Below are 27647 nucleotides of genomic sequence, written 5' to 3' on the forward strand. Positions count from 1 at the left end.
AGCATTTCCATTGCAGTCCCACATGAAGGGCTGGGTGTTCACAGTGCAAGTCCTGTAATTCAAGGGGTCGGTGGCAGAGATGGTCCTCTGATGTGAAGAGTTCCTTTGTCCCCCACCATCCCTCCAGACCCCTGTCCTCTGTGTGGTCCGAGACAGGAGTTGTTCTTACAGTCCCTCGGAGGCGTATGGTTCTTCCTTACGGCTGGTTCCTCTGCATCCCTACCACTGGGTCATCCAACTTAAATGCCTCTGTTGTCAAGGTGCTCACTACCTCAGTCAGACTCTTTCCCTGGAGGAGAATGTTCCTCTTCATCCTGAGCTCAGAGCTGCCTCCTTCTGATTTCTGTCCCCAGGGGTTGTATGCTCCCCGCTCCTCTCTCCCCTCCCGGACTGAAGGGCAGGTCTCTGGCCCTACATGGTCCACCTCTGTCAGCCGCCACCACACTGGCTCCGCCTGGGAAAATCCTGCCCGCCGATGTGTAAGTGTGTCACTGCCAATAATAGTGCGAAGCCTCCAAATCTGAGGGCCTTTCTAGGATCGTTTCCTGATTAATTAGGTCAGCATCTCCAAAATCAATTTCCAGCGAAGTCGCGCCACCTGGTAGCGCCGTTCCCTGCCCAGCCAGGCGAGGGAGTTGGCACGGGAGGCAATTCCCTGGCCTCTGGTGCAGTTCAGGTCTTGTCTCTACCTCATCTCTTCTGTGATTATCCTGACTTTTTATTTTATCTGCCCCCCTCAAATCTTCCATTAAACCCCCGTAGATCCTGCTTCAAACAGGCAATTAGACTAACAACGTAATTATATCCCTCAATTCTAATTGTAACTGGTTTAGAGGAAAAACAAAGAGAAAGAGGCTTCAAAATCTCTGGAAACTAAAAGCAGCGGTTATGGTTTCCAGGTATTTTTCTTCCCTGTGTGTTTCTTTGAGAGCCCTGGTTGCTGGCAGGCTGGCATCTCTGTAGCTTGCCCAATGCCATAAGGACCACCGTATCTGTTCCCCTCTTCTGAGCATGTGCTAGTTGACACCCCCACCTCTGTCCTTCTCTGGGTTCCTGGCTCTGCTGGCTGTGTCTCTCATTGTCTCTCCCTGTCTCAACCACTTTCACCCTATTAGATGTGGTCAGCTTGCCGGTGTTGGAAGAAGTAGCATTTCTTCTGGCTCTTGCTAGCACTCCATCATCGCCAGTAACCATGGGTTGATGATCCATGTGAGTCTGTCTTGGGGAGATTGGAAGCCAGGCAAGCTGGACCTGGTCTTGGGGTTTGAGCCCAGCCAGGCTTATGTGACGAGGCTGCCACAGGGAGACGTCTTGCGCCACCTGCCTATACTCAGCATTTTCCGAGTCTGTTTTTTGAGCAAGGCCTGCACTCTGTGAATAAGCCTTGGTCTCTGCCTCCAGGCTGCCCTCGGCCTGGGGAAAGAGGCATTCAAATCATTGAATGGTGGGACCGCTGGGAAGAGTAGACATCAGAGGGGCTCCAACCCGGCCTCAGGTGGCAGGGTGAGATGGGAAGTGGAGTAGGGCAGTGTGGGGACATTCGAGAGGTTCCCTGGTGGAAGGGATGTCTAGGATGAGAGTTAAAAGATGGGGAGGAGAGTTGGCCAGGCAGTGAGTGTGGAAGCAGGTCCAGGAACCCTGGTGTGGCCGGACTGTCTACTGTGAGGGTGGCCTCGGTGGGAGCTGAGGCTGGAGAAGAGCAGGGACTATGTCTCTGAGGAGGAGGAGTGGGAGGGGAAAGGAGGAAGGGAGGGGGGGACAGGATCAGACTTGTGTCTTACAAAGACCAAACGAGCTGCAAGTGGAAATTGTTGAATGGGAGGGGGCTTGATTGGAGGCTAGAAGGCCAGTTGGAGGGCTTTTGAAGAAACCTAGGTGGTTTTTCATGAATAACAACTTGCTGTGATGGGGCTGGACTAGCTGTGTGGCTTTGGGGTGGTCGCTTAACCTCTCTGTGCTTCCCTTTCCTCATCAGATTAAAGGGAGGGTATTTATATTTACCTTGCTGTGTTTTAGGGGACATATCAGAAATAGGCAAAGGTTCTAGTTCAGTGTTTGACATAGAATAGGCATCCAAACAATATTTGTGAATAGGGACCTTTTACCAGGATGGCTTGGAGCACTTTTTCCTATATATATACGTATATATACACACATATATGTGTGTGTGTATATATATACATATATGTGTATATATACATATATGTGTGTATGTGTACACATATATGTGTGTATGTGTACACATATATGTGTGTATATGTACACATATGTGTGTACATATGTACACATATGTGTGTGTATATGTGTGTGTGTATATGTGTGTGTGTGTGTGTGTGTATATATATGTATATATATATATGTATATATACTCCTCTCCCATTAACTCTAGTATTTCCAGAGGATGAGAACTCAGGCAGTTGTATGTTGAGGGGCCTCTTGAGTACATAGTGGCTTTTCAGTTATCATGACTTTTCCCATCTTGGAGTCGTGTCCCAAACCTTGACCTCATGGCTAAGGAGAACAAGTGTGGTTCTGTGCCATTTTCCTTTTCTTAGAAACTGGGTTTCCCAGTTTGATGATTGAATGTGCTGACACCGTTTCCCTTTGGGCAGATGGGACTCAAGTTGCCACCGCAAAGCCTGGGGTGGAGACTTGGTCATCATTCAGACATTGATGAGCTTGGAGCCCCGCTTTCTTTCAGTGACTGCCTTGAGGCTTTCGTGGCACTCCATATGGGCCATTTGGTGCCAGGTATTCCGGCCCTGGGTTTGCCATCAGTTATGTGGACGGGGCGTTTCATTAAAATTTCCATTAACTGTTTTTTCTTTTTTTAAGCCAGTGAGCAATTTATAGATTCATTAACTTTTTACTACACTTGTGAAGCCAGGAAGAGGGGAATAAAGGAAATGAAATATTTGGTCCGCAGCATTTCACTAAAAGATGGTGGCCCTTAAATATGGAGGAGAAAAGCTGGATAATTAAGGCTGGTTTGAAGAAGCATTTAGGAAGGGCTGGGATCTTCCAGAAGGATCCAGAATTGGAATATCCTGGCAAGGAATACCACCTTTTACCACCCCTTCCCTGCACACTGAGTAGCTGATCTGTCCTTTTGCTCAAAATGATTGATTTTTTTCCCCACTGGGTGTCTGTCCACCCCCTGATGACAGCCTCTCATGGGAAGCATACCGCCTCAGGACTAACTCTGACTGTGACTCTGAATGTATTTCCTTGTTTGGGGGTGCAGTCTGACTCCTCATAGTCCTCTCATTGCATTCCCTTTTGGGGGAGTTAGGGATGGCATGATGGTTGAGTGATGGGCCTTGGGGCCAGATAAGCTTGGGTTCAAGTCCAGGCCCTGCTGCTAACTAGCTGTATGATTTTGGATAAATGTCTTCACCTCTCTGAAACTTATTTTTTTAATCTATAAAATCATGGTAGTTTTAGGAACTCTGAGAAGTCTCAGGAAAGTGACAGTAGTATGTTCTACCACACACTAAGTGGTGAGGACAAAATGGTTTACTAAGGATGCCTGACCCACATTCACATTCCAGACTTGCCATGCAGTTGGACTGCTCACCTACAAACATTCTCAATTGAATTCCATTCCCTAAAACAGCAAGGCACATCTCAGGACATCAGTTTCCCCTGTTGGAAAGTAGATGAATAATCTCTAGTTAATGAGGATGTTGGATGAGATCAGACACATTTAATGAGCCTTTTAGAGTTGCTGGCACATAATAGTATCTTAATACATACTAGCAGTCATATATCTATTGTGGTTGCAACTACATGCAATATAAAAACTCTGCTCCCAGGGTCTACTGTATTAAAAAGGCAATCGGCTTAAAGATGACTTTCCCCAAGAGCCTCTTAGAAAGAGAAAATCTCAGTACGTGAACGTACTTCGAGGTCACCCTGTTCGGCTCCCAGGTGGAGCTTGGATGCCCTAAGTGTTGAACTTCCCATTGAAGGGGTGTGTACCCAGGCCTATCCTCGGGAGAGATGGTTAAAAGCAGGTCTTTGTAGAGTCACAGTCTTCTTCAATCAGGAGTAGCATGGAACCCTAGGAAATCACCTCATCCTAATACCTGCCTCTATAGATGTACAGCATGAGTATTTGAAAGTATAATGAATTTTTCCTCAAAAGTGGTAATAATGGAAAGCGAAGCAGGAAAGAGGAAAGTATCATTCAATTTTGAGCCATCCAGGCCAAGTGCTTTTAGGGATATTGTATACGTGCATGTGGTATTTGTTAGTGTAAACTTTATGTAAAGTTATATATAGAGAGTTTGATTCTGTTCTTGTCACTTCAGCCAGTTAACCTCTGCTTCTTCCTCTCTGTAACGGAAATCATGACTCCTACCTTGTGAAGAATTAAATGAAGTAATGGATATAAAAAATCACTAAACAAATGTATGTGGGGGATTGATAGAATATGTTATTCCTGCCTCACTCCAGACTCAGGCTTCCGGGAACCTGAGTCATCTTCCCCTTTAAGGATGCTATGTAGACACACTCTCTGTGCTGGGCTGTCTGGTGGGCACTGGGGAATCCAGAGGCACAGCCCCTGCCTGGGAAAGATGGATGTCCAGCTGTGAAGACAGGTAATAAAAAGATGACTGAGTATAGCAGCCAGTTGATCAATATCTTTTGAATAGTCCAGGCAATAAGTGCTTTAAGAAAACAGGGGAGGGAGATTGCCCCTGTGGCCTGGAGGAGGTGGGAATGGAACCCAAAAGGAAGGGGAAGGGCCCTTCCTTTCTTTGCAGAATGTAGTTAAATGAAGCCTTTAGCAACAACTAGGACAAAGAGGTTCTGGGGGTTGAGTCTATGTGGGGTAGGAATGCATTTGCCTTTTATGATACTGTTCAGCAAAGAGCAAAGATGTCCTGCGTGCCTCTGGAGTGTCCTTGAATGTGGAAAGTTCTAGGGCTCTAGGAGTGGGTTTCCCCTAGCCCAGCTGGTGTCATACTGTGGTCCCCAGAGCCTCTGATCGTCATCCCTATAGGTCTGGTCAAGGGATGCTTCTAGAGTGTCCACTGGGTGCTTGGGTCTTCTGGGCAGGGGGTTGAGGAGAGCATTACCCTTTCACATGATGAGTTTTCCGTACTTCTCTCAGCAACACTGGAGTTACAATATGCTAGAAGGATACCCAAGCAACCTACATGTTGGGGGACTGGGCTGTGTGGCCAGGCATCCATTTCCCAGACTTCCAGAGTTCTTTAAACTCCAAGCTGTGATTCCACTGGATAGTGCAGAGCATGGTGCAGTTCAAGACAAGGCAGTTCTTGCTGATGAGGAGGCTGGAGTCCAAATGGGGGACTGGACTCAGGTGGACTCTTTGGTTAGCTCTGCAGGGCAGTGTCTTCAGGTGGATCCTGCACTTCTGGAGTTTCCTATCTGAACTGATCTGTTGGTTTGACCTCAGTTCCATGCCTTCCTTTTCCCTGCTGTGCTCTGTATTGCAAGGGATTGCATTTCCTAGGTGCTCTTGCTCTCTGGCCTTCAAAAGTTTAACCAGTAGGATGCTCATCAGGAAGACTGGAATGTGAAAAGGGAGGGAGAAGCCTGGGGTACTTCTTCTCACCCATTCTCTCCCTCTGGTGGTGTTTTCTGTTTAGCTCCAGCCCTTCCCTCTATGGTCCACTCCCAGTGGGCAGCCTTTTCCATAATTTTACTTCTTGCTGGACAGCCCCAGTTTCTGATAACACCATTTCATCCCTTTTATCTCTCCAGGGCTATGGGTGGTAGCAGCAGCTCTCCCATATGCTGATATGCCTGGTTTTCTATCTGTCTCCTGTTTGCCTTCTCTATTCACTCATCACCTGTGTTCTCAAATCCTTATATTAAATTGCCTCCATTTAAAGGGCCTAGAGTGACTTCTCTTTTTTTTTTTTTTTTGTCTATCCTGGACCCTGAAGGCTATTCCCAAATCAGACCCCTTAGAGAGTTTGACTGGCTGTTGCCACCCTGACTCACCCCGTGGAAGTCACTGTAAGCTCATGACTGCCCTAATGAATTCAAGGTACCAGATTTCCACACCCCACCCCCACACTGCAAAGAAAACAGAATTGTAGAATAATTTCAAAATAGTCTGGTTGTCTAGATTTCTCAGCAGGCACCCATTGGGATGTGCAGAATTACAATCTTTCATTTCTTCATGGGCCTCTCATTTTGTAGGAATATGAGTGATTCCTTCCTTTCCAGCTGTGAGAGGAACTATTTTGCGTATACTATTTTGATTTTGAAAAAAATTCATGCAGTTGTTCTCCCCCTCCCCCTATTTTCCTGGGCTGTTGATCTTGTGATATATTTATAGAGATTGTGGTTGGCTGACCAGGAGTTATTTTGCAATAGGAATTTGTAAGATTTCTACTTTGAGTTTGAGCATGTGTTCCAGACTTTTCTCTCTTTAAAAAAAAAAGTCTTACTTAGAACATCTACTTTGCCCTTCTGTAATTATTTCTCTTTCACAGCAAAAGTAAGCCCTGCACTTTACACATATTTTTTTCTATGTATATTTCTTCTGTCTCTGGTCTTCTTTCTTCTTTGATGTCTCTTTTTACTACATATTTTAAAAGCCCTCAGCTTCTTTCTTCTATGTGGGAATAGGTTTGCAAATGAAAATGTGACCGGAAGAAGGGTGCTTTGGGGGTCAGGAGGCCTCAGTTTCTCTGTCTGTAAAAGAGGAGCATCCCAGCACTTTGGGAGGCCGAAGCGGGTGGATCACCTGAGGTCAGTAGTTCGAGACCAACCTGACCAACATGGTGAAACCCCATCTCTACTAAATACAAAAAAATAGCTGGGAGTGGTGGCTCACGCCTGTAATCCCAGCTACTCGGGAGGCTGAGGCAGGAGAATTGCTTGAACCCGGGAGGCAGAGGTTGCAGTGAGCCAAAATTGTGCCACTGCACACCAGCCTGGGCAACGAGAGTTAAACTCTGTCTCAAAAAAAAAAAAAAAAAAAAAAAAAAAAAAGAAGAGCATTGGACTAGATTAGAGGGGGCAAGCATGCTTCCATCCCCAACTTTACCATACTCACTGCAGACATTAGTAATCAATCACAGCACTCTTTCTAACCGAGCTCTGCTGTGACCTCAGAATCTTTCTCAACACATGGTCCCAGGCAGCCACTACTAAATGGTTAGAACAGGCCATTCTTAAACTAGATGAAATGATTCCTTGGACCCCATTCACCACTCTGGCTCTCTGACTATTGGAACTACAATTCCTTTATGTTTTAAACCAGTTGACTGACTTTTATGAAGCCTCATCTTGACGTAACACATCCTTAGGCCTAGGTACTATGGAGCCACAGAGAAGCTGAAAACAGCAGGCCACCCTCACGGAAACTACAGTTTGGTGGGGAGCAAGGCTGCAGAGTGGCGATGTTCTTAGGTGTGCTCAGGCACCTTCTTGGTGCTCTAGGATGTTGTCCTGTGGTCAGGGAAGGCTTCCTAGAGGTGGTTAGAGTAGACTGTCGTCTAGGCAGTGAGACAGCCTTAGCAAGTTTCAGAATTAAGACTTGCCCAAATTTTAATAAGTGGTAGTAATTATAGCTAAAGTTAACTACTAATAAATCATTTTATAAAAAGTAATGATTTATATAGGTAGTACTTATATACTGCTTAGTAAGTGTCAGACGCAGTTCTGAGAGTTTTATGTATTATGAACTGATTTGGTCCTCAGTCACCTTGTGAGGTCAGTACTGTTATTATCTGCATTTGACAGATGAAGAAACTGAGTCACAAAGGTTAAATGACTTACCCAGTGACACATAGTATGTAAGTGGTGGAGCCAGGGCTTGAACCCAACCCATCTGCCTGTAGATACTATGCTGGGAACTACTGTGCCAAATAAATCCCGCCGGCCGGAGAGATCAGAATGTGTTTGGCTTTTTAAAAAGTATATTAATTTTACTTACCACCATCAATGTAATCTTAATGACATCATCCAGATCTGTGGCTCATGTAGTGTTGTTAGCACTGGCTGAGAATATTATAGACTCTCTATCACTTCATCCACCCAACAGCCGTGGGATGGGGGGATTTTTATCTCTATTTTACATCAGAGGAAACTAAGGCTGAGAGACAGGATGTATCGAGCTACTAAGTAGCCCAGGCAGAATTTGAACTCAGGCCTGACTGACTCCAGATGTCAGAGTTGGAATGTTTCTGAGAGGCCATCAGTCCAGCAACCTCATTGAACAGATGGGTAGTCTGAGGGCCAGAGACTGCCTCTCGAGCAAGTCAGAGGAGGACCTGGTGCTAACAGGGGTCTCCTAGAGTATAAAGTTCCTCCTCCCTGGTGAGGCCGTCCAGACATGCCAGACATGCCAGCATTACCCTGGCCATATCAAAGGAGGCTGAAGCCTTCGGTTCACTAGAAGAGATTTGAGGACAGCCTCTTCCCCTACTGCCATACATAGAAATACCTAAGGGGGTGACTTAAAGCCTTGTCCCTGAATTCTGGGTTCACCTAATTTGGAGTTTGCAACCCTTTGTATTTATAATAGGTTTTTCTCTCCATGAAGCAAAAGTTTCCTTTTTTTTTTTTTTACCCCCAACCCCCACTTCCTGCTGATCTGAAGTGAATATTTATCACATATTTAATGAGTAATCTGAGTCTCAGCTTGGTGAGGCTGTACCAGGACATGGTTTATGGCTGATCTGGTTTTAACTCGCTCCAGGCGGTTTTCCCTAGAGTTTTCTGTAAAATCATAAACCTGGAGAGAGAATTTTTGTGGAATTCAGTCACATGACTCACTCTTTTGTAAATTGAGAGATTAACTGTGACTGGAAAGAACTGAGATTCATTTCTTTTTAAAAAAGAAAACAAGCAGAGCAGCATTTATGCACCCAGAGGAGCGTGTCCATGCTGAAAGACAAGGGGGCAAGTCACTCTCTCCAAGGTCACCCCACCAGCCTTGGAGGCAGGATGGCATAGGATTTGAAAATGTGGATTTGGACTCGGAGTATCTGGGTTGGAGTCCTGGCTGAGTCTTTCCCAGCTGGTCCCTGGACCCAGCATGCCTCTAAGTCCTCCCCTGCACATGGGGACTGGTGACATCCCCACCTCTTATGGTAGTTGAGAACATTAAATGAAATGATGCATGCTGTACCCTGAGCCAGGGCTGGCACACGGGAGGTGCCCAGTGGATGCTGGCCACTTCTAGATTGCTAGGATTACCTTCATTTGAAGCCCTTTATGTTGAGTTGATGATACTAGCTGGCACTACATAGATGGAAAGACCCTGTTCCAAGCACAACTAGCTCATTTAATCCTCACAATGGCTCTGTGAGGTGGGCAGTGGGATCTCCCCATTTTACAGATAAAGGAACGGAGGCACTGAGAGATCATGATGCATCCAGCGTCCCATTCACACGTTTGTGCCCAGGCTGATTCCCGTAAACACTACCCTGTTGTTGCTGCTGGCTTCTTTCTTCCTGGTGTACTGCTGGAGCCTGGGGGCATTTTGCTTGCTGGTCCCTGGGAGGGAGACCAGGCTTCGCCTTGCCTTAGCTCAGACCTCAGCCAACCCTCCCTGGACTTTGACATCTACCCCCAACTGGTCTTGGTGTCTGTCATTGCCCTAACCAGCAGCCCATCGGAGGACAGAATTCTGACCATGTTACTGCCCTGCCTGGAGCCCCTGATGGCAGGTGAAGGATATATGGGAGCTCCCTGCTATCCCTGAGAAACTCTTTTGTAAATGTGAAATTTCTTCAACATAAAAAGTGTTTTAGGCCGGGCGCGGTGGCTCATGCCTGTAAATCCCAGCACTTTGGGAGGCCGAGGCAGGCCGATCACCTGAGATCGGGAGTTCGAGACCAGCCTGACCAACATGGTGAAACCTCGTCTCTACTAAAAATACAAAATTAGCCGGGCGTCGTGGCGCATGCCTGTAATCCAAGCTACTCAGGAGGCTGAGGCAGGAATTGCTTGAACCTGGGAGGTGGAGGTTGCGGTGAGCCGAGATTGCGCCATTGCACTCCAGCCTGGGCAACAAGAGTGAAACTCTGTCTCAAAAAAAAAAAAGTGTTTTAAAAAATAAAAACAACACCTCACTGGGCCAGATCTAAGAAAAACCTCACTCTTTGAAACAACATTTAGAACACTTTCTGATCCTGCCCAGCTGGGGGAATAGAATGAACACACATTAATCCACCAGAAACTGTTATAGTACGTGTTGGACTCATGTGCAGACTGAGGGCCCCAGCCGTGGTGGCACCTGGTACCCTGGGATGGAAACGAAACTGTGCCTTGGGTGGTGAGTCCCACATAGCCCTGCAGGGGAGGCTGCTGCCTTTACCTCTCTGCGGATTTCCCCCTTTTCCTTTATTTTTTTATTTTTATTTATTTTGAGATGAAGTTTTGCTCTCGTTGCCCAAGTTGGAGTGCAGTGACACGATCTCAGCTCACTGCAACCTCCGCCTCCCAAGTTCAAGCGATTCTCCTGCCTCAGCTTCCTGAGTAGCTGGGATTACAGGAGTCCACCACCATGCCTGGCTAATTTTTTGTATTTTTAGTAGAGACAGCGTTTCGCCATGTTGGCCAGGCTGGTCTCGACCTCCTGACCTCAGGTGATCCACCCGCCTCGGCCTCCCAAAGTGCTGGGATTACAGGCGTGAGCCACCACGCCCGGCCCCCTTCTCCTTTAAACGTCGTGACTCAGGCCTCAGGTTTGGAGGTGAATTCTTCTATTCTTCCATCTCTCCCAGGGGCCCAGGTCTGTGCATGAAGGAAACGAGGCCCTCTGCACATAATCTAAGACTGGCAGAGGTTTCTCAACAGCTGCTGCAGTTTATTTAAACAACAACAGCAACAAAAATCTGTGTTCACAGAGCAACTAATATGTGCCGGCGTCTTGCTGGGTGTTTTCCTCACATTATCTCAGTTGATCTGTGCTGCTCCCAGTAGCTCTCAGTCCTGCAGCTTTCTCTCCTCCACCACCTTCCCCAAACCGCCATCATCTCTTCCCTGGAAGGGGACAGTGGGCTCTCTGTGCTGGCTACCACCTCCAGTCTGCATACTGCAGCTCGCAATTGCTTTTGGGGTGCATATGCCTTCCAAGTCTGTCCATAAGCTTCCAGCTCCCTTAGCCTGACTTACAGGACTTACTCATTCCTGACTGTTGACAGTGATGTCAAAGACAACGATGATGATGATGAAGACTGTATTAGGGTCTGGATCCAATCTGCATGGCTGCCTATCAGAGAGAGAAGAATCCACCTGTACCTGGAAACTCACAAGAAGCAGACAAGACCCACACTGGTTCCATTCCAGACAGGAATGATTTATGTTTTAACACTGGACCTCAGAGAGCCAGGGCTTGAGAAAGACATAAAAGGTATCATAACTGAGAGGCGTAAAGAAAGTGGTCATTTTCCCTGGCTTTCCCTTGTAGTTGGAAACTTGGCCAGTCAATCACAATGTCTCTGGGGCCTCCTGCGGAGAAGATGCCTAGACCTGGTTTGGGGACGGTCTTCACATTTCTGTTCCATGGAGCATTGTGGCCACTCTGCAGCAAATGAAAAGGGGAAAGATCAAACCATTGTTCCTTCCCCTTCAGAGCTGGAAGCTACCAAGTCCAGAGGGAGGCGTGGGCTCTGGCCTTGGGGTCTAGTCAGGAACTCCTTGTGTGAGCCTGTGCATGTTGGGTGGGTTGGGCCCTTCCTTCATTGGTGAAGCCTTCAGAGAAGGCTACAACCCAGCGAAGTTCACGGGCCTTGGTTTCCCAGCTGGGCAAGGTGGTGCCCTTTTCTTCACTGCCCTGCACGAGGTGCATGTCGCTCCCTGCCATCCAGCCTGTGTTAGCTTTACCTGCATCTACAGTTTTATTCCCCCTGTCGAGTGTGAGCTCTGTGCTTCCTATTCCAGTATCCCTCTTCATAGAAGCTCTTCCTGACCCTGAAGTCTGTTGGATCCTCTTGTCAAAGATGCTGACGGAACCCAGACTTTTCCCTTCAGAGCACGTATCTCAGGTGGTAATTATAAACTGATTGATTGAAGCCATTAAGTCATCAATGCCTGTCCCCTTCACTGTTCTTGTTGCTGTTGTGTCCCCAGTAATTATTTTAGTTCCCAGCCCATAGTAGGCATTTACATCATAATACATAGTGGTATTTGGGCGAATGAATAAGGAACCAGGTCTGATTCATCTTCGTATCCTCCACCGGCCAAGGCCTTGCCCAGAATCAAACATCTAATAGGAACTTCATAAATATTTATGGAAAAATGGCACAAACTCATGTGAGTTCCAGCTCTTTCAGGCCAGGGTCTTCTCTGGCAGCCTCTTGCCACTCCTCAAGCGTGGAACCTAGGGCAGTCAGTGGCTTTGAGTTACCGTGTTCAGTTGGGAAAGAAAACACAAAAACCAAGTACAATGTGTTAGATACATACCACTGAATGTGATCTAAGAGGCAAGGACTAATTAGAGAATTTATCATATATTTGGTTTCCAGGAACAGAATCCTCTTTGTAACTTGCAAAGCTCTTTATAACTTTTTCAGCATTGGCCCTGGCACTTTTAAATGGCATTTTTTAGGGACACCTGGTGAATAAATGCTGGAGCTGCCTGTGCCTGAGTTGGAGCTCTGTAGCTAGACAGAAAAACAGTTCATCCATATGGTTTGGGGCTAAGTTTTATCCATTGGTTCCATAGGGGAAGGGCCAAATATATAGAGGAAATGGCTGTGGACTTGGGGTGAGAAGATGTGTGAACCTTGGCCAAGCCACTGGCGGTGGTATGACCTTGGATAAGTCACTTAGCCCCTCCACGTGCTTGGTTAATTCTTGGTCAAAGAGGGATATTTAAACCACAGTGTTTTCCCTGCAGGGTTACTGGGAGGATCTCATTCGGCGTAACTTATCTGTAAAGTACTGTGCTGATGGTTAGTATTCTCATGTGTGGGAGAGATGCAACTCCATTTTTCTTGGTGCTAAGGCCCATGATTTTTGGAATCTTCCTTGACTCTTTCTTTATGTCATACCCCACATCTAATTTACCAGCACCAACCAGTATATTCAGAACTCAACCTTTCCTCACCCTCTTCAGTCCCTGCCACCATCATCTTTTCCCTGGACTGCTCCGTAGCCCTGCCAGCCTTCTGTTTCCCCCCTGGCCTCATGGTCTCCTTTCAACACAGCAACCAGAGTGATCTTTCTAAAATGTAAGTCAAAGTATGTCACTTTGCCAAAACCTTCTAGTGGCTTTCCAGAGTAGAAGCCAAGGCTCTTCGGTGGCCTGCAAGGCTCTGCATGAGCTGACCTCCCATGATCTCTCCTCCTCTTGTCCTCATGTACTCTGCCCCAGGTATCCTGACATTCTTGCTGTTTGCCAAGCACACCAGGCATGCTCCTGTCCTGGGGTCATTTGCACTGGCATCCACTTTGCCCCAGACACCACATGGCCAACTCTCTCACCCTCTTACAGTGTTCACCCAATGATGCCTACCCAACTACCCTACTTAAAATTGCAGCCTGTGGCTCCTCCCTTGTCCCCAGCATTCCTGACCACCCTATCCTTCCCTGTTCATGACTCCCCCGCCTCCCCCACACACCATAGAACTGATTACTTTCAAGCATGCTATATGTTTTACTTATTTATTACGCCTAATGTTAGCGTCTCCCCCCACTTGAATGTAATTGCCACAAGGGTATAGATATATCCCAACTGCCTAAAATGATGTCTGGCATGTAGAAGGAGCTTGATAAATGTTTGTTGGATGAATGAGTGAATTTTCCTTATTTGAGTCTTGTGCCTCAGTGGAGGAGACAGAAAGTTACATGTTAAGTTTTGGGGATTCACTGGCTTTTGGAAAGGAAATAGATATATAAATAAAGCTTGAGTTGTTTCAGACCAACTGTCCTCTAAATATTAGGGGACATAGAATCATCCTCTGGGCAGGTCCTGGGTTGGTGGGTGCTTCTTGCAAGCGCAGTGCCCCCTGCAGGCCTCCAGGTTAAATGCACTTGGTTGCACCCACTGCCGAGGTCACATATCTTCCTGCAAGGTTAATTGTACCAGCTGGTCGTTTAAAACAATGTTGATGTTTGTACTAACATATAAAAATATATGAAATATGTATTATGGTGTCGTATGTATTTGGTAGTTTGAATGTAATATTCAAATGTATTGGTAAGAATTAGTAAGCTACAAGACTTCAAAGGGCATTTGAGCATGCAGAGAAACTCCCATTTCTCTCTGGGTTCATGTTCATGCTTCCCTTCCATAAGGGTGCAGAGAAGCCTGAAAAATACTGACCACTGGGCATTCAAAATTGTCCCCTAGTGGATTTGACGTCATCCACCCAGAGCCCAGCAGAGTACTTGCCACATAGTAGGTTTCCAAGAACTATCTGCTGAGTGAATAAAGGAATGATTAATTATTTGAGGTCAATTGATATATTTCATTCAAGCATGATTGCCAATGCACCATTCATCTAAGCAACCTCATTGTCAGTATTTTTTTGAGAAACAATCATAATTAACAGATTCAACTATATTTGCCGAGTATTTGCCCTGTGCCAGGCCCTGAGCTGGGTGCTGGTGACATGGTCATGTGTGGGATGTGGCCTTTGGAGGAGGGGCAGCACACACCCTGGGGGGTGACAGACGCTTCAGGAACTGCAGCCCCAGTCCCAGTCCCGTAGAGTTGGTTGATGTCTGCGTGTCAGCAGTGTTGGGAAAACAATGAACAGGGACAAATTAAATCTAGCTGGGGGAGGAGGGAGCCATTCAATTCTCTAGAGACCAAGTAATTTTTGAGTTGCGGTGGGGGAGGAAAAGGCAAAATCCTAATTATAGCACTGTGAAAATGTGCTGCGCCAGGTCCATCTTGAGCTTGGCTAGCTGAGGCGCCATCTTGGAAATGCCCCCTCCAAGATGGCGGCCCCCTTCTAACCTCACAGAGCTAGGGGGACTGTGAGGCCCCCACATTTGTGGCAGCACCTCAGCCTCCCCGAGCCTCAGGCTCGGTTCTCTTATCGAAGAAAGGCATTTCATTCTTCGAGATCAGGCAGCCAGGACCTAAGGAGCTGTTTTTCCTCCATTGTGCAAGCATGACAAATCATTAATTTTTGATTGATTTGCTTAGAATTATGGGCGCCCCAGCATTCTTTCCGCCGCTGAACAGCTGTATAACAAATGAATATATCAGTGAGCACAAAAGATTGGAGATCTAAGAGAAGCAATTACATTGGCCACCCTCCCCCACCCTCACCGCTTCCCGGGCAATGAAGGGAGGAAATTTTTACCAGAAATTCCTCAAGTGGCTTAAAAAAAAAAATGCCATTTTATAATTGAATTAAATCTTTATCTCTTCATCTTTTGCAGCAGGTTTTTCCAAACACACAGCGGTTCCCCACGTGCTTGGGTTCTATCCATCCAGGAGGAATCTTTAATAATGAAATTTCAACTTGTGAGAATTAAAACCAAAATGAAAAAAAGGAAAAAAAGAAAAGAGCAAATTCTACCCCTCCTTTCTGCTTTTTTTTTTTTTTTTTTTTTTGGTTGCTGCTATTCCTTTAAGATTTTGGAACCGTACCAGTGCACTAAATGTGACCTCCATAACTTTTAAATTAAGAATTTATGCTGGCTTGAAATTTATGAAATATTTCAGCATGAAAGAAAGCCTTTTTCCCTCAGGAAAATTGAGCAATAAATCACAGCACTGTGGATTTACTGCCCTAGAGCCAGCGAGAGATAGGATTTTTTTTTTTTTTTGCTTCATTCTGAAAAAAAAAAAAATGTAATCATATAAGACAGCTTAGCTGCTATCCTCCCACTCTCTAGAATTTTTAATTTCAGCTGTTTCTGCTTGGATTTATTTCCAATATTCCTGCTCGGCTTTTCAATTTCCTCAGTTATTAAATTTTAATTCAGTGCATTAGCATTTAAATTAAAAAAGGGTTTATTTTATCGAAATCGTTGGCCAGCCCCCATCCTGGAGCACACGAATTGCCTGTTTCTGCCATTTGCACAAAATGTGAAATGCAGCTAATGTCTTACAACTTACATTTGCACAAATTTAGAAATAAAATTTCTGGGTTTGGAATAATATTTTCTTTCCAAGAAAACCCTTAATAAGAGAATGGAAAAGAACAACTTCACATTCATTTGGGAGGGAAGAGGAGGGTCGAATGAAACCAAAAATAGCCTTGCCCAGGTCCTGAGGGGAAACTGGTGAATAAGGAATGGGTGGGGCTGGGAAGAGGGGACAGGCACCCTTATTCGGGGCTGGAGGGCTTAGATACACCTTCACCCCAGCTTTACGAGAGTGAGAAGGAGGATCTCACTGGGGTCCTCCTTATTTTATTTGTCATAGAGGAGTCTGGTTTTAAGGTTGGGTCAACTCCACATGGAGTGGGGGAGATGACCTGATTTAACCTCCTTCTCCGCCCCCATTTTTTACCTATGGAGAATCTCAGGTGCAGAGAAAGGAACGAGCTTGTCTGAGGTTCAAAATGAGACTCAGAGCCAGGGAAACAAGCTACATCCTTAAGGAGCACACAGTCCAGTGGCGGAAGATGGTGGAACAACAGCAGCTGCAGTGGGAGTTTCCATTACCTGAGTAATGACTATGTATACCAGGGCTGCGCTTAGTACTTTAGTGACATTACTGTCATTCTGGCTGCACCGTTGGAGAAGGCCTTCGGGCTGTGTGGTCTGGTGGCCACTCATGAGATGCCGACTTGCAGCTTGGGATTCGGGGAAGGCCTTGAGGCAGAAGACCCATGGTCCACCCCAGGCTGGCTCTGCGACTCGTTCATCTTATACATATCATTCTGTTTTTCTGTGCCTCAGTTTCCTAGACCCAATAAATAGTGGCCTCTATAACTATAGGGTTGTCAGTGATTATTTTCATTATTATAGCCAAGCACTCACTAAGTACTTTTACATGCTATTACATGTTTTACCTTATTTAAGCTATCTCAAGTCCCAAGCCAGTCCCGTGAAGTAGGTCCTGTGATGAGCATCTTGCCATTTTGCAGAGGGAGAAATCGAGGCCTTGGAAATACGTGTGACTTGCTGAAGATCGCAGAGCTAGAAAACGGCAAAACCAGGCCTTGAACTCCGATGTTCTAACTCTAAACTCTGTTCTCTTAAGCTTCGGTTCAAATTGAGACTCAGGTCAGTTTGCACAGGGTACAGATGAGTTTGCTGTTTAGGTTGAATCATATGAAACTGCTGGTGTTAGAACATTTTGGCCTCAGCACATGGCAATGTCAGAGGTTCAGCTTAATCCACTTGGAAGGAATGGCTGTGATGTATTTGTAAGGACAGACCACACCGGCCTGGCGTGTATGGAACTCCACCCTGGGAGTTGGTGTTCCCAACACAGTGGACTTTGGCTCTGTCGTCATGGTGTAGCTGGACTCGGCCAGGCCCACACGCTGTGATTGCCAGGTGCTGTGATACTGACACATGTGTCTTGGACATCTCCCACTGAATCCATTGTCCATCCATATTCCAATGAAGCAACTCTCATCTGCCACCATCTGAACATCCCACACCCTGCCCAGGTAGAACTCTCCTCTAGTTGCCCCAGTTTCCCAGCAGCACCACCTGAGTCTCTGCAAAAGTATTTGACAATTCTTTGAATATTTTTAGCACTTTCTCTTTGTTTTATGAAAATGGGTGGAAAACAGAAATGCATGCAGCTACCAGTAACACGAAGCTGAAGTATCATTCACTCAATAAAAGAGAAACAAAGGTGGAGATTATTAGGCATGCTGAAAACAGAGACTCTTATCCCACACTCTGTCACGTGTTTGCTGCACTTGAGCTGGTCAACTCTGTGTGAAATTGTGAAGGAAAAGGACAAAAATGACAACTTTAAAAGTGTGTGTGACAAGCTAAAAATACACGCACAGAATTAAGTCTGAAAGGCGAGAGATCCATTTGGGAGTTAACCATTTTTTTAAGATCTCTGGGGCAGAATTTCCACCCGTACCACTTCTGCTGCTTATGATACAAACATTCAAACAAATTCAGCCTGTTTGCTTTGCATACAAGTTTTGAGGAATGCAAGATGTTGGAAAGAGGCTGTAATTGATCTGTTCTTTTGCTCCCAGTGAAATGATATGCAAACCATTTTCTGCTTTCTTGTTTCTTCTGTTGAAATAATACATGGGCAGCTCATTAATTTCTTCCTCCCCGACCTCACATTTCTCCCTCCCTATTCGTCCTTAACCTTGCCCTTTCCCTTGTGTGGGAAACAGGAGCTGTTTGATGTCACCCCATTTCCCAATTGGCTCTCCTGAATGTCGGTGGGAAGTAAAATGCTCCAGAACTGAGGATGTTGGACTTTGGAGTGACCCAGACCTGAGCTTATAGCTGTGGGACTTTTGATAAATACATTCTTTGACCTGTGTTCTTGCCTGTAAAGTGGGGATATTATGGGGTGGAGGGGGGAGGACCTATGGTGAGGATTAAATGAGAGAAGGCATTAATGTCCACATCCTAGCGCCTAATGGGAAGTTCTCCCTGGGGAGCAAGTGTGGATGCCCGCTGGGACCAGACGGGCTGGGTGATTATAAGGCAAGAGTGGAGGATGGAGGCTGTGGAGAGCCAAGTATGTCAGCTCTAGCTGCCTGTCACCATGTAGGACTAGGTATCATGGGGTTATCCAGTTTAATAAGAGAAGGTGGAGATCTCGCCTTTTTTCAGTGCAATTCTTTTATTTTTATACATTGCCGATTTGTTTGAATCGAAGTCCGCCATCTGATTTTGCCAGTTTGCAACTTCTCGTAAGCACTCATCAAAAGGTGTTTTATTTCAGGTCCTCAGTCCTTCATCCGCAATCCTGAAATTCAAAAAAACTCAAAAAGTTTTTATAACTGATGAGGCAGCAGAACTTGACCTGAAGGGAGAAAAGGCTAGTGACAGTCCTCATTGTTGTTTTGTTGACGTTTATCCTATGTAGGGTTACCTATGCATATGTTTTACAATAGAAATATCAATGTGTTTGATTAGCGGGGGCTCTGCCAGGGTTGTTTCAAAATATAAGACATAGGGCGGTACATTACCTTTCTAAAATTGGAAAAATTCTGAATTTGGAAACACATATGCACCTGAATTTCAGACCTGTATTATCCTATGATTCTTATTAGAAGTGTTTTGACAAAGCTCGGGAATGTATCTTCAGCTGGCGGTAGTGAAGATCTAGGTATTGTTCCCAGGTCTGCAACCTCTGTCAGCCTCTGCATTGAGGTCCCCCTGAGCACTGGTCTAGGAGTCAGGACCCCTGGAGTTTGTTTTCATGAGACTTCAGGTAGCTCCCTCTGTGCCCAAGGCCCCAGTCTCTGCATCTGAATCAGAATTGTATGATTTCTGAAAATTTCATTTGATCAGCTTTATGTCCCCCTCCCCCCACACCCAAATAAAAGAGATTAAGAACTGGCACTCTCTTGCCTTCTGCTCATAGGGTTGGGAGAAAGAATATTTTAACATAATAGGATTTTTTCCCTCTGGTTGGTAGGAATAAATCTACAGCTACTGTTTTATTGGAAATCCCAGCTGAAAATAAAAATGGTGCAATTCAATCTCAGATTTAGCTGGTTACTTACTTTTCACTGAGTCCCCAGGGCAGTGCAGTTGCTGAGTTTGTGTTGGCAGTGGGTGCTCAGTGGGATTTAAAGGGCCAAGCAAATGGGGTTGCAGGGAGGTGTTCTGACTCCCTCTTACCACTGGGCACAAGTTTGTCCAGCCTGGAGGAGCGGGACAGGGGCTTGTGGCCAGCTCACCCCACAGTGTGAAGGCTGGTATTCAGTGGGAGCTTGATGGGGTGGCAGCAGGTCAAATCTGCATCTTCTGCCTTGGCTGATGTAGGTGTTTTGGGTTTCTTTTGCAGGCTGACGGAGCCAGTGCAGCCGGAAGGAAAAGCACTGCGAGCAGGTACACTCCCTCTCCCGCCCCCAGCTTGTCCACCCATCGACTCAGGTCTTCATGACTAACAGTTACCACTCTCTGGTCCTCATCTTCCCCCTGGAAGGATGGGTGGTCCAGGCCAGCCCTCCTTGGCAAGAAGTATCCAGACTTCCCCAAAGAATGTGAGGTCATAGAAAGCATTTTCCATGTGGCTACCTGTGACCAGAATCCAAGGATGGTTCATTCCTGAACTGGCCATTGGCCACTCAAGTTGAGAACTTAGGAGTGAAGCATAAGACTAGGCAGAAAGACCTGGGCTGGAATTCCATCTGGGCTGCTGCATGGCTAACTCCTGGGGCAGCCAGTCCCATCCTTGTCCAGAATCCATTGGCCTATGTGCTAGTGTCATGTGCTCCTCTCTCTTCACCAGTCATGCCAAAGCAGGGGATGGGATACTCTGATTAGCCAGGGTGGAGAGGGGGCGGCCTTTCCTCACCCTCAAGGATGGCAGGAGAGGGGAGAGGGGTGGTCCCCAATAGAGAACTGGACTGTTTTTACCAAAGAAGGGAGAGATATCAGACAGGCCCAAGCTGTGGACATCATGACAGGTGTCACAGGTAGGTACTTGGTAATGTTAACACCCATGCTGCCGCTGCTGTTGCTGCTGTTACGTTGGGTAGAGCAAGGCTGGAACGGCCACATGACCTGTATTTGGGGCTTTGGAGGCAGAAAGAAGGTAAGGGACAGACAAGAGAGATGGCTCCCCTGAACACATACATAAAATCTAGAATCGATCCTAGGGTTACCTGTTAGAGCTGAGGGTCAGATTGTGAATGCCAAGCAGAAGAATTTGCCTGTTAGCCTGTGGAACACTAGTTCTTTAAAATGTTAATGGATTTTTTTTGTGTGAGGAAAAAAAGGTTCTTTCTGTGGCCCAGTAAGTTAGAGGACAGTGGGTTAAACAAAATTAAAAAGGTTTATTTGCTGTGAGACTTTCCAGATCTTTTAATATGCTAATGTGTGTGCTTGAGAAGAGAGAGCCAGAGAGAGAGAGAGAGAATCATGTTTCTCAAACTTCTTAACTATGGGACCCCTTTTTTTTTGACGTTCATTGCATTGAGCAAGTGTTCCTTGGAACATACTTTGAGAAACCATGGAAAGATATTGACATTCTCTGAGCAGGAGAGTAATGTGTTCGGCTTAGTGTTTCAGGAATACCACCCTGGCAGCCATTTGTTGGGTGGATTGGAGGCTAGTAGAATAGAGGCCATTATACCAGGCCGGAGGTCTCTGTAACCCAGAGACCTGTATTGTGTGGCAAATATTTTACACTTTGCAGGCTGTATGATCTTTGTGGCAGTTTCTCAACTCTGCCAGTATAATGCTGAAGTAGCCATGGTGATACCTAAATTTGCCCATAAATGGCCATAGTTTGTCAACCCCTAGTCTAAACTGACCCCTACCTGAGAGCTTCTGCAACTGCTGTTCCCTGTGTCTGGAATGTTCTTTCTCTGATCTTCCCATGATGAATGCCCTTTCATCTTTCAGATCTGGAGTCAGTTCTACCCTCAGGGAAGCTTTCCCTGACCCTCCGTATCAAGGTACCTGCACCCCAGTATGTGGTGTGTGGCCTTCATAGCCTGTTTATGCTCTTTAATTATTTCATTTTCATTATTCGTTATTTCATTCCCTTCCCTGTGTTCCTTTTTTTCTGTCTCTCTGAGAATGCCAGCTCCATTGGCAGAGAACATGTCTGTCTTGTTCACTGCTGTGGGCCTGGCCCCTAGCAGGCTCTCAGTACGTGTTTATGGGATGGGCACACTAGATGAGATGGAAGAAGATGTGCCAGTGATGTGGAGACAGGGAGTGTGGGAGAGGAGCAGGTAGAGCTCAGAGACGGTGCACTTAGGCCTGTGGTCATTGGGGGTGACCCAAGTAGCCAGCAGCTGCCCAGCGTTTTGTGTTTCTCTCCTGGGTCCCTAGGAGTGGAATTTGTGTAAGAACAATGTGTGAGGTTGTGGCCTGCGGGGCAGTAGCAGTTGTCAGACCGGTGCCTGGAAGTGTTTCTTGGATCAGGAAATCAGGACTGAAAGGGGCATTAAGTTTGTCTAGACCACCCTGTCATTGTGCAATGGGGAGATCGAGGCCTTTGGGAGGAAAGGCCCTGCTTAGGGGCGTATAATGAGTCAGTGGCTGTGTTGGGCCTTGAACCTGCCAAAGCTGGTGCTTTCTCCACTCCTCAGTGCTATGCCCAAGTGAGGGTCTAGCCAGCCTCTCCCACTTTCCTCCCACTTTCACTAAGCACCTGCTCTGGTAGGCCCAGTGCTGTATGCTGTGAACTCAGGCTGGTTAGGTGCTAATTTATTCACCCAGCCAGACATTCTAGTGTCTCCTGCATGGCAGGCACTGTTCGAAGTACTTCGTGAATGAAGAGACAAAGCACCACCCACCCCTCGTCAGTCCTGTGGGAATGCGGTCTGCCCTCACTCTCTAATGCATGAATCTCTCCTACACGAGTATCTCTGCCTGGTAATTGTAGCCAGAGAAGAACAGGCAGGTTTTCCCACGGTGGCTGCCTGAATCTCTGAATTGAGTATTATCCCCCTAAGGCTGTAGTTGGTGGAAGAATGCTGAGATTGATTGGAGATGCCTGCCCAGTCAGAGGAGGGGTAGGGTGGCACGTGAGACATTGATTTGTTCTCCCTGCTAGCCTAGGCTCTTCATCACACATACTCAGTGACTGAGCCCCTGTGTTACTACCATGGCGCCGGAATATGCATCAGGAAGGGCCACCCAAACCTGGGGTTGTGTGTGGCTTAAGGTGTAAAAACAGACTTTCTAATAGTAAAGACTACCATTTGGTCAACATTTCTTTGTCAGGCTCTGAGCCAAGTGATTTATGTGTATTAATTTATTAATTTTTCTTTTCTTGGAGACAGGGTCTCATTCTGTTGCTCAGGCTGGAGTGCAGTGGTGCAATCTCTGCTCACTGCATCCTCTACCTCTTGGGCTCAAGCAATCCTTCCATCTCAGCCTCCCAAGTAGCTGGGACTACAGGCATGCAGCACTACCCCTGGCTAATTTTTGCATCTTTTTGTAGAGCTGGGGTTTCACTGTGTTGCCCAGGCTGGTCTCAAACTCCTGAGTTCTAGTGATGCACCCATCTTGGCCTCCCAAAGTGCTGGGATTACAGATAGGAGCCACCATGCCCACCCTTTATTTATTAATTTAATGTAATCTTTTTAACAACCTCATGAGAGAGATACTCTTATTATTCCCACTTTACAGATGAGAAAGCTGAGGCACAGAGAGGTTTACTGGCCCAAGGCTGCCTAGGTGGAGGTAGGCAGTAGAGCCAGGAAGTCTACCTGAGTCTGACTTCTGTGATGCACTTACTCACCACGCCCTCCTGCTTCTTGGTGGGAAGGGATCAGTTAACACGTGTTACAGGAGCCTGTTTGGGACCAGGGACTGTGCTGTAGGCTGGAGGCCTATCAAGAAGGTGGGACTCTGGAGGAGCTCACAGGCAAGTTTATAGACTCTGTGAGGAAAACTAATCCTTTGAAAGACCAACACACTATTACTTACATAGTGACTTGATGTTCAGTCTGAGAAGTGAATTATATGTTAAACGTCAAGAGAATGTTGTTGGGCCCAGTGCGGTGGCTCACCCCTGTAACCCCAGTACTTTGGGAGGCCGAGGCGGGCGGATCACTTGAGGTCAGGAGTTTGAGACCAGCCTGGCCAACATGGCGAAACCCTGTCTCAACTTAAAAAATACAAAAATTAGCCAGGTATGGTGGCACACACCTGTAATCCCAGCTACTCAGGAGGCTGAGGCGGGAGAATCACTTGAACCCAGGAGGTGGAGGTTGCAGGGTTGCAGTGAGCCAAGATCATGCCACTGCACTCCAGCCTGGACAATAGAGTAAGACTCTGTCTCAAAAAAAAAGAGAGAACATTGTCAGTGTGGTGGCCTTAGCTGACACCACTGGTGATTTGACCACGGCCAGGTGGGATTTAGATGGGTAGACACTTTGTAGAGCATTAGAGCTCATTTAATCCTTCTTCAGATGGAGAAATGAAGGGCCTGAAGTTCCCCAAAGTCAGAATTAGATTAGACGGCTCTGAGCAGAATGACCTTGAAGGACCCCCAGCCCTCCAACGTGGGCTTCTACCCCCAGCTATGCTATGGCACACTCTGCTACTACGCCAGGGTCCGCTTTCATCCCAGCGCCTTCCTCTTGGCCTGGAACACATAATGTTATTTCTCCAGAGGGCCTCTGGCTAAACCCCAAAATCAACAGCATGGGCTGCTACGGAATTAGTGTTAAATTGAGGGGGACAAGGAGAGGTTGTGTTTCTGATCTTAAGAAACAACCGAATGTGGTTTGGTTTACTTCCCTGTAACCCAAACTGGGTCGATTTTACAAGACCAGTGATCCCAGCACTTGAGGTTAATGTCGATCTGGTGTGCAGGTTACAAATCATGTAGCATAACTCCAGCCAAACCCCACTTATTCTAAGGGTCAGGGAGGCTGTGGGGCCTTAAGTTTGGAAAATTCTGAAGGAAATGCAGTTTTTGTAATCAAGTAAATGCAGTTACAGACTTGGTGTAATAAATAATTGTATGTAAATATATCTATTTTTCTTTTGTCAGCTGAGGATTTTCAGAGCTGGAAGGACTGTAGAAAATCTAGTCCAGCCCTTTCATTTTAGAGATAAGGAAATCTGGGGTAGAAGAGGTTAAAGGGCTCATTATTTTGTTATAGGTTGCCCAACAAGTGAACAGGATCTTGTAGACAAGGAGATTGGGGAGGAGAATAAGAAAAAATCAAATCTCATCCATGCATTCCACAAATATTTACTGAGTGCCTGCTAAGTGCTTGGCACTGACCTGGGTGCTGGAGGCACAGCAGTGAATGAAACAGACAGGAATCCCTGCCCTTGTAGAGCTGATGTTGTAGTGGGAGTAGAGCAGCTGTAATAAATACATAAAATATATGCTTGTTAGATAGTAACAAGTGTTGGGGGTGGGGAAAGCAGAAGAGATTGGGAGAGCCGGAGACAGTGTTGCCTCTCTAATTTGAGCATTCAGGGAAGGTGAGTCATGAAGAAGGATCTGAAAGAGTTGTGGGGGCCGAAGCAGGCAGTCATTTGGGAGAAGTGCATTCCAGGCAGAGAGAACAACAGGTGCAAAGGCCCTGGAGCTGGAGTAGCAGCAAGGAGGCCGGTGTGGCCACGGAGGCCCTTGGAGACCGTTGTCAGGACTTTGGCCATTCCTCTGCGTGAGATCAGGAGCCACTGGGGAGTTTGAACAGAGAAGTGGCATAATATGATTTGGTTTTAAAAGGATCATTCTGGCTGCCAGGAGGATGAGATGTGATGATAGGTGTTGCCAAGGGTTCAGGACAGACAGGACCTTACACAGTAGGCTTAGAGCTGAGTTTCTTAAGGGCTATTTTTTTTTTCAGGCCTGAGGACTTCAGTTCAGCAAAGGATTATGTGTAGCCTGCATCCAAAAATGCACAGCCTCCTGTGTGTTTCTTGGATGGCCCCAGAGTGGAGCAGCTGTACTCCTGTGGTCCCCATTCTCCATGCCCCCCTGCACCCCCTGCCTGGTCTGTCAGGCATCTTCCTCACCACCTCTCCAGCCCTGCTAAGGGCCAAGCAGCCTAGTGCAGAATGGAAGAGCCCAGACTGCCTGGATTCAGATTCTGGCCCTGCCCATTGCCTGATTGTGTGACCCTGGGCTCCTTACCTAGCCTTCCTGCATTTTGGCTTCCTCATCTGTAAACTGGGGATTATATTAGTACCTCCTTCATAGTGTTGTCAATGACGATTAGGTGTAATAATATATATACCCTTAGCACAATTCCTAGTTCAAAGCAGGTGCTCAGTAAACATTTATTTTTATTACTACCATGGTGGATTCTGGTTCCTAGGAGGAGATAACATGGGGTGGCAATTGATTCCTTGTAGAGCCTGGACATTGGAGAGAGGGCTGGAGGGAGGGATGACGGTGATGGAGCTCTTATTTGTTGAAGGCCTACCATGATCCAAATATGTGTCTTGTGTCTTATTTGATCTTCCCAGCAGCCCTTTCAGATAGTGATTGGCATCCCTCATGTTCAGAGGGAATTGAGGAATAGACTTATATGGAGTCACCCAGATGGTAAAATGGCTTTCAATGTAGCTAAGTCTTGTTCTTTAATTAAGCCAAGATTTTTCACGGGTGGACCATTTTATCTGATAACCACATGTGTGTGGCTGCATAATTATTTATATCTTCTTCTTGTTTACCATTTTGGTTTTCAGCAGCAAAATAAAAGTAGCCCTAAACAACGCAATTTCCTTTGCACAAAATTTCACAGCAATACAGATTGAGTATTCCTAATCCAGAAATCCAAAATGCTCCAAAATCCAAAACTTTTTGAGCACCAACATGATGCTCAAAGGAAATGCTTATTGGAGCATTTCAGATTTCTGGGTTTTGGATTAGGGATGTTGAACTGGCACATGTAGTGGAAATATTCCAAAAACTGAAAAAAATAAATTAAAAATCCAGATACTTCTGGCCCTGAGTGTTTCAGATGAGGAGTATTCAACCTGTAGCCAGCCCAGTGCTAGTCAATGAACAGTATGGTATTAGCAGAGTGAATTATTTGAGAACGGGGTATGTTTTGGGAGGTATCTTCATCTTGACTCTAGATTTATGTTCCTGTTACTGGAGTTCAGATTTCATTTCTAGAAATGTATTTCCAGAAATATTCTCACCCTACCAAAATTCGGGCAAAGTTTGTCCACAAAAAAATCCTAAATTGCAGGTTGAATGGGGGCCCATGTACTTACTCCAAAGGGGCCGGTTGCTTTTTTGGTGGGCAGAGTTCACTCTGCTTAATTAGTTACCATTTACCATTCAACCTAGGCTCTGTAAATAAGAGAGATTCTTGAAAATTCATATACAGTCTTAGGTTTGCCCTCTGGAGACAGCCACAGAAATGCAAACCACAATTCACGTCCATCAAGATCCGTGAGTTGTTTGTGCCAAAGGGCACTTGAACTTTGGGTGGTCCAGCAAAGGGAATTGGTGGGGGTCTCTAGGGAACTCAGTCCTCCCAATCAGCACATGCCCCCCACATGTGCTTCTTGAGCAAAGTAAGAAAGTTCTTCTTGTGAACCTGTGGCTGTTAGTTCAGAGTGTTCAGAATCTTGCCTTGTCCTGAAGCACAATATTGAGAGTGCGAAGTAGGAGGACCTGACCTAGTTGCTTCTTGAGGCCTTTAATAACAGAGGCCCTTGATCTGAGAAGGCAACCCAGGAAATTTGCACAACCTCACCATCTGTCTGGCTCTGCTGACAAAAGAGAACATGCTCACCCTTGGCTGGAGCACCTTCCAGACTCCATGTGGAGTGTGACAGTTAACAGTGTCGGGACACCTCAAACCCACCTTCTTGATCACTCCTGCCTGGCTGTCCTGCAGTGGACTTGGCTGCAGTGTGGGTCTCCCGTCTCTCCTCCTCACTGCTGCATGGAGGGTGACCTTGTCCCCCACTCCTTTTGTTTTCATAGGAGCTAAAAATTCCTCCTCTACTTCCATTTATGAGTACTCCACTGACAGCCTGTGAGCTCATCTTTTTCATGGTTAACCTAACTTTTCACATTTTGTCTGGTGTATTTAGTAGGGGTAGGAGAAAAGAACTAACTAATATGCATTGAGTTCCTATTAGATATATGGCACTTTACATCCATCCATCCTTTAATCTTCCAGAGT

The 27647-nt window shown here is 46.2% G+C and overlaps 1 protein-coding gene across 50 annotated transcripts in view, besides 3 other annotated features; it reads left to right on the forward strand.

Annotated features, from left to right (window-relative positions):
* Positions 1-27647, forward strand: part of ZNF618 (zinc finger protein 618) — a 180285-nt gene that overhangs the window by 72953 nt on the left and 79685 nt on the right. For all 50 annotated transcript variants that reach the window (XM_005251692.4, XM_017014242.3, XM_017014241.3 and 47 more), the window contains exon 2: positions 19856-19899. In XM_005251692.4, the coding sequence (XP_005251749.1) occupies positions 19856-19899 (44 nt within the window). The remainder of the gene's footprint in view (positions 1-19855; positions 19900-27647) is intronic.
* Positions 14756-15256: an enhancer, noted in NCBI's record as "H3K4me1 hESC enhancer chr9:116726297-116726797 (GRCh37/hg19 assembly coordinates)". NCBI's record gives its function as "activates a minimal SCP1, AML or CMV promoter by ChIP-STARR-seq in primed H9 embryonic stem cells {active_cell/tissue: H9 hESC(primed)}" and the evidence as "EXISTENCE:reporter gene assay evidence [ECO:0000049][PMID:30033119]".
* Positions 14756-16272: a biological region, named in NCBI's record as "VISTA enhancer hs641".
* Positions 14895-16272: an enhancer, noted in NCBI's record as "VISTA enhancer hs641". NCBI's record gives its function as "enhancer in: forebrain[8/11] | limb[5/11] | other[8/11]" and the evidence as "EXISTENCE:transgenic organism evidence [ECO:0001131][PMID:17130149]".

The sequence above is a fragment of the Homo sapiens genome, chromosome 9 (genome assembly GCF_000001405.40).
Source record: "Homo sapiens chromosome 9, GRCh38.p14 Primary Assembly".
Classification (NCBI taxonomy): Eukaryota; Metazoa; Chordata; class Mammalia; order Primates; family Hominidae; genus Homo; species Homo sapiens.